The sequence below is a fragment of the Homo sapiens genome, chromosome 8 (genome assembly GCF_000001405.40).
Source record: "Homo sapiens chromosome 8, GRCh38.p14 Primary Assembly".
Classification (NCBI taxonomy): Eukaryota; Metazoa; Chordata; class Mammalia; order Primates; family Hominidae; genus Homo; species Homo sapiens.
This window is the reverse complement of record NC_000008.11, coordinates 107017258-107024304: the sequence shown is the minus strand read 5'-3', so window position 1 is coordinate 107024304 and position 7047 is coordinate 107017258.

The following is a 7047-nucleotide window of genomic DNA, read 5'->3' as shown; positions in this document are numbered from 1 at the left end:
TCTGTATAAGCCTGTGATTCAGAAAGTGATTGAGGTGCTGTCTTGGAGAAAATCCAGATGACCTTGATCACATTTCTGGCTCTATGCTACATGAACTTATTAGAATCTAGTCTTCTATTGATAGTAAGCTTTGATTAGATTATGTCTGTGAGCTTTGCCAAATCTAATCTTGGTTTTTATTAGTAAGCTTCAAAATATCCATAATACAAGAAGAATTGATATTTATAACAAATCATTTATAATTCAAAATATAAATGTATAAATTATCAAGGATTAAACTCTCAGTATAATCTTAATGCTAGATATATTTTTTATTTTCACCTTTAAATTGCCCATCTACTTACAGCGAATGAGCTTTTTCTTAAATATAATTTGCTATCAACTAATTAACTCTTTATTCAATCTGGTTAAATAAGCTAAAATTTATTTTTTAGACATTATAAATTTGATACAAGCATGGGCTACCACATAAAACAGGTGAGATTTAAATTATTATTTCTAAGTAAAAATAAGGTAGGCATATAGCACCATCATAGATTAATCACTAAGTTATATTTAAGTCACTTTTCATTCAAATTAAGAATCTGTCCAAGAAGAAACATATCAACATTAGAATATATTCATTATACATAAACACAAAGGACTATCTCTAGAGAATTTAGCAAATAATTAATCCCCCAAATCTGAAATTTATAGATATATCCCAATATGCTTATCATGGACTGTAGCAATAGCTTGGTTTTTAATTCCTAAATGACATTAAATCCATAGGCATCACTTAGCTGAAAAACATCACTAAAGTAGAATTGAAGCTCATATTGTTATTTGGAGAGGCTTAGATTTAGGAACTTTTTGTAAAAGCTCCAAGAAGACTAAAATAGAAATATTGGCATGGGATATACCACTTCTTTGCCTGCTTTAAAAAGAGATGTCTGTGACAAAGTTTATTGACATGGAAAAGAACATTAATGATATCAAATTCTCAATTAGGAATCTTGAAACATGCATTTCTCTGAATTAAATACCAGTTGCACGTTGTCTCTCACCAATGACCATTTCAAATAGTGTTTTAGCAACACTGGTGCATCATAGTCCCATAATATGTTTTCATTCCAAGCACAAACAGTTGTACTTGGAAAATATTAGTAATGTACCCAAAAGTCTTTTTAAAGAGACATTGCAAAATTATGAGACAGTCCAATAAGGGAATTCTTAAATGTGAATAATATTATATTTACAAAAAAATTAATATGGGGAAAACATGACAATCTCATGTCAATGAAAATTCATAGTACAAAGCTATATGTATAGAATAATGTTCACCATATATAACATCTGTAAATATAAATGTATTAAAATGAAAAAAATTAAATTATTCAAATCAGCTCTGGGCATGACCTTTATTATTCCTTTTCATATTTTTAATAGCTTAATTAGCAAGTGAAAATTGTATGTATTCATGGTGTACAGCATGATTTTTTAATTTATGTATACATTGTAGAATGGCTAATTCAAGTAACTTAAGGCATTCATTACATCACATACTTATTTACTTTAGGACAAGAACATTTAGAATATGGTATCTGAGCAATTTTCCAGTCTACAATGTATTGTATAAATTGTAGTCATCATAACGATCTGTTGAATTTATTTCTCCTAACTGAAATGTTGTATATTTGACCAAAATCTTTCCAAATTTCCCATTATCCAACCTCTGGTTAACACCATTTTACTCTGTTTTTATGAGTTCAACATTTTTATAATTCATATATAAGTGATATCGTATGGTATTTATCTTTCTGTGCCTGGCTTATTTCACTTAACATAGTGTTTTCCAGGTTCACCTATGTTGTCATAATGACAGGATTTCATTCTTTTTTATGGCTGAATAGTATTTCATTGTGTATATATACCACGTTTTTAAAAATCATTCATCTGTTGATGAACACTTAGGTTGATTCCATATCTTGCCTATTGTGAATAATGCTGCAGTGAACACAGGAGTTACCTGTGATTTTGGAGTCATATCCAAAAATAAAAATAAAAAAATAAAAATCATTGCCCAGAAAAATTCCAAAGTTTTTGCCCTATGGTTTCTTCTACTAGTTTTACAATTTCATATCTTACATTTAGATCTTTAATCCATTTTGAGTTGATTTTTTATATTGTATAAGATATGCATGTCATTTTATTCTTTTGTATGTGGATATCCAGTTTTCCCAGCACCATTTATTGAAGACCCTGTCCTTTCCCCACTGTATGGTTCTTGACATTTTCATTCAAAGTCAATTGACCACAATGTACGTATTTATTTCTGGGTTCTTTATTCTGTTTCTTTGGTCTATGTGCCTGTTTTTATGTCAATACTATGCTCTTCTTCTACTTCTGTTTTAGGTTCAGGAGGTACACGTGCAGGTTTGTTACATGGGTAAGTTTTGTATTGCTGCAGCTTGGTATACAAATGATCCCCTCACCAAGGTAGCGAGCATAATACCTGCCTGATAGGTAGCCTTCCAACCCCCACCTCTCTCCCACCCTCCCCATTCAAGCAGTCCCAGTGTCTGTTGTTTTCATTTTTGTATCCATGTGTATTGAATACATAGCTCCCACTTTTATGTAAGGACATGCAGTATTTGGTTTTCTGTTCCTCTATTCACTTAGGTTTTGTTCATTTTTTTAAAGTTCTTTATTTGTGTCTGTCTGTGATGCTTTAAAGAAGCGCTCTTCAGGTTCTGAGATTCCTTCCTCAGCTGGGTCTGTTCTGTTGTTAATGCTTGGAACTGTATTTTGAAATTCCTGTAGTGAATTTTTTCATTTCCAAAAGTCCAGTTTAGTTCTTTCTTAAAATGGTTATGTGGTCTTTCAACTCTTTGGATTGTTCTACTGTTTTCCTTGGATTGGGTTTCAACTTCCCCTTATATCTCTGAGCTTCATTGCCATCCAGATGCTGAATTCTATGTCTGTTATTTTAACCATTTACGTCTAGTTGAGAACCACTGCTGGAGAGCCAGTAGATCATTTGGAGGTAAGAAGTCACTCTGACTTTTAGAGCTGCCAGAATGCTTGTGCTGGTTGTTTCTCATCTGTGAGGGCTGATGTTTTGTTATCCTTTGACACTGCTGCCAAAGCAGCTTTTTGGATGGGGCTTTTGTTTTCAAATCCTCTTTATTGTCCTTGAAGGTTTGACCATGGTGCAAGTTGGTATACTGAATGCTTCATTTCTGGGTGCTCTCAGAGGTCCAGGGTTCAGATTTGCACTCATGGGCTGTGTGCTCTAGGACCTGGGACTAGGTCTGTGGCTTTGTCCTCTTGTCCCTTAAGGTTGAGCCCTGGCTGGGCTGGAGGGGCCAAGGAGCTACCAGACCGACTGGCAACAGCATTTTCTAGGAGAGGTGGGGGCAGGTGGGTGTAAGTGCTTCAGTGGTGTCTCCATGGAAAGGAAGCACACCCCCAGCAGGGGTTATGGGGGCACTGTAGGTGAGCATTCTCTGGAGGGGTGGCAGTGGGGTCACCGGCAAATCCATTCTGCTGGGAGGCTGTCAGCAAAATCACTCCAGTGGGGCAGTGGGGTCCTCTGGCAAAAGCACTGTGGTGGATGGCCCCTGCCAAAAGTGCTTCAAATTAACGAGTAGCTGAGGCTGCGCTGCATGCAAATATAGCCAGGCAGGGACTCTAATAGGGGGCTGGCAGAGAGCAGGGGCACAGATCAGACTCTCTAGTCCCACAGGATAGACATCCCTGCTGTCTCTCCAGGTCTGGCAGATTACACAGGTCACAGCCTCTCCTTTAGGAGCTGTCCAGGGCCTGGAATGCATCTCAGTGCTTGGCAACCCCATGCAGGATTTACAGCATCCTCCCACTTCAGTCCTGGTGTCTAGGTCATCTCTCTAACCTCTCTCAGTGCCTTCTCTCAGATGATCTGTTCCAAGTATGCCAGTTAACTCAATATTCTGTTCTATCTGGGTGGAATAAGTTCTTCCTGGCTGCATCTAGTGGGCCATCTTGCCTACGTCTCCATATTATGCTGTTTTCATTGCTATCGTTTTGTAGTGGATTTTGAAATGAGATAGTGTGATACTTCTAGCTGTGTTCTTTTTGCTTAAGATTGCTTTGGCTATTCAGGGTCTTTTATGGTTCCATACAAATGATAGAATTGTTTTTAAGGTTTCTTTGAAAAATGTCATTAGAATTTGTATCGGATTTCATTTAACCTGCAGATCACGTATGGACATTTTAACAATATTCTTCTAATCCATGAACGTGAGATATCATTCATTTGTGTCAACTTATTTCATCAATGTTTTACAGTTTTCAATTTATTGTCTTTCACTTCCTTGGTTAAATTTGTCCCTAAGTATTTTATTTTTGTAGTTATTATAAACGGAATTGATTTATTGATGTATTTTTTGGGATAGTTTGTTAGTGTATGAAAACACTGCTGATTTTTGTGTGTTGATTATGGTATCCTAGAACTTTACTGAATTTGTTAGTTTTCAGTTTTTTAGTGACATCTTCAGGGTTTTCTATATGTGGAATCATGTTGTCTGCAAACAGACATTTTTAATTCTGTCCTTTTTAATTTGTATGTCTTTTTTTCATAATTGCTCTGGCAAGGACTTCCAGTACCATGATGAATAAAAATGGTGGTAATGGGTATTCTTGTCTTGTTTTGGGTCTTAAAGGAAAAGTGTTAAACTTTTCCCCATTGAGTATGACATTAGCTATGGGCTTGTTGCATGTGGCCTTTAGTGGGTTGAGGCACATTCCTTCTCTTCTTACTTTGAGAATTTTTAATCATGAAAGGATATCGAATTTCATCAAATGTCTTTTCTGCATCTGTTGAGATGATCATATGGCTTTGGCCTTCCTTTTATTTAGGTGGTGTACCACACTTATAGATGTGCATATGTTGAACCCTCCTTGCAATCCAGAAATAAATCTGAGTTGATTGCAGTGATTGTAGTGTGTAATGTGCTACTAAATTAGGTTTGCTTGAATCTTGTTGAGGATTTTTGCATCTATGTTTATCAGATTTAGTGGCCTGTAATTTTCTTTTCTTGTAATGTGCTAGTCTGGCTTTGGTATCAGGGAAATGCTGACCTTATAAAATGAGTTTGGAGTTATCCCCTCTGTTTAATTTCTTTGGAAGTATTTGCGAAGAATTTCTTTTTTAAAATATGTGGTAGAATCTGCATGGAAGCCATCAAGTCCTGGACTTTCCGTTGACAGGAGACTTTTTATTACAGATTCAATATCCTACTCATTATTGGTGTCTTCAGATTTTCTATTATGATTCAGTGTTGGTAGGTGATACGGTTTGGGTATTTGTCCTCTCAAAAATCTCATGTTGAAATGTGATCCCCAGTGTTGGAGGTGGGGCCTGGTGGGAGGTGATTGGGTCATAGGGGTGGATTCCTCACAAATGGCTTGGTGCCCTCCCACAGTAATGAGAGTGTTTTCACTCTATTAGTTCACACAAACTCTGTTAAAAACAGTCTAGCATTTCTTTATATTTCCTCATTCTCTCTCTGGTTCCTTCTCTCACCATGTGACATGCCTGCTCCCTCTTCTTCTTCCATGAGTAAAAGCTTCCTGAGACACTCACCAGAAGTAGATACTGGCACCATGTTTTTTCGTACAGTCTGCAGAACCGTGAGCCAAAATAAACTTCTTTATAAATTACCCAGTATCAGGTATTCCCTTTATAGCAATATAAAATGAATGAATACAGTAGGTATTATATGTAGGTTTTATATTCCTACAAATTTATCCCTTTCTTACAGGTTATTCAATTTGTTGATATGTAATTGTTTATAGTTGTCTCTTACAATCTTTTGTATTTCTGTGATATCTCACTTGTAATATCTCTCTCATTTCTGATTTTTAAAAATTTGGTTCCTCTTTTTTCTTAGTGTAAGATTTGTTGATTTTGTTTATCTTTGACACACTTCTTAGTTTTGGTCATCTTTTCTAATGTTTTTCTCATAATCTGTTTCATTTATTTCTGCTCTGATCTTTATTATTTCCTTCCCCCTACTACTTAGCTCAGTTTGTTTTCTTCTAGTTCCTGGAAGTATAATGCTAAGTTGTCTATTTGGGATATTTATTCTTTTTCAGTGTAGGCGTTTATTGCTATAAACATTCCTCTTAGGACTGCTTTTGTTGCATCCCTTTAGTTTTTGTATATCGTGTGTCCATTTTCATTTCTCTGAAGAAATTTTTTAATTTCCATTTTTTCTTTGACCCATGAGTTGTTTTAGGGCATGTATAATTTCCATATATTTGTGAATTTTCTGAAATTGCCCCTATTATAGACTTCTAGTGTCATACCATTGTGGTCAGAAAAGGTATTTGATATGATTTCAATCTTCCTTGTTCAATTTGTTATGACTTACACTGAGGCCTATCATATGATCTATTCTGGAGTGTGTTCCATGTGCACCTAAAAAGAATGTGTATTCTGTAGCTATTGGTTGGATGTTCTATATATATATCTGTTAGGCCAATTTGGTCTAAAGTGCAGCTCAAATCCAATGTTTCCTTATTGATTTCCATCTGAATGGGCTGTCCAGTGTTAAAATCATGTTATTAAATTCCCTATTACTCTTGTATTGTGGTCTCTCTCTCCCTCCCTCAAATCTATTAATATTTGATTTATATATTTTTGATATTCTGATGTCAGATATGTATATATTTACCATTTTAATATTCCTGTGATGAATTGACTTTTTATCATTATATATTGACCTTATTTGTCTTTTTTAAAGTTTTTCACTTAAACTCTATTTTGCCTTATATAACCATTGCTACTTCAGCTGTCTTTTGGTTTCCATTTGCAGAAAATATTGTCCCTTTCTTTAGTTTCAGTCTATGTGTGTCCTTATAGGTGAAGTAGGTCTCTTGTTTGCAGCATGAGTTTGCATCTTGTTTTTTATCCATTCATTTACTCTATGTCTTTTGATTAGAGAATTTAATCCATATACATTCAAGGCAGTTATGACAGGTAAGTATTTACTACTGATATTTTGTTAATTGTTTTCTGGTTGT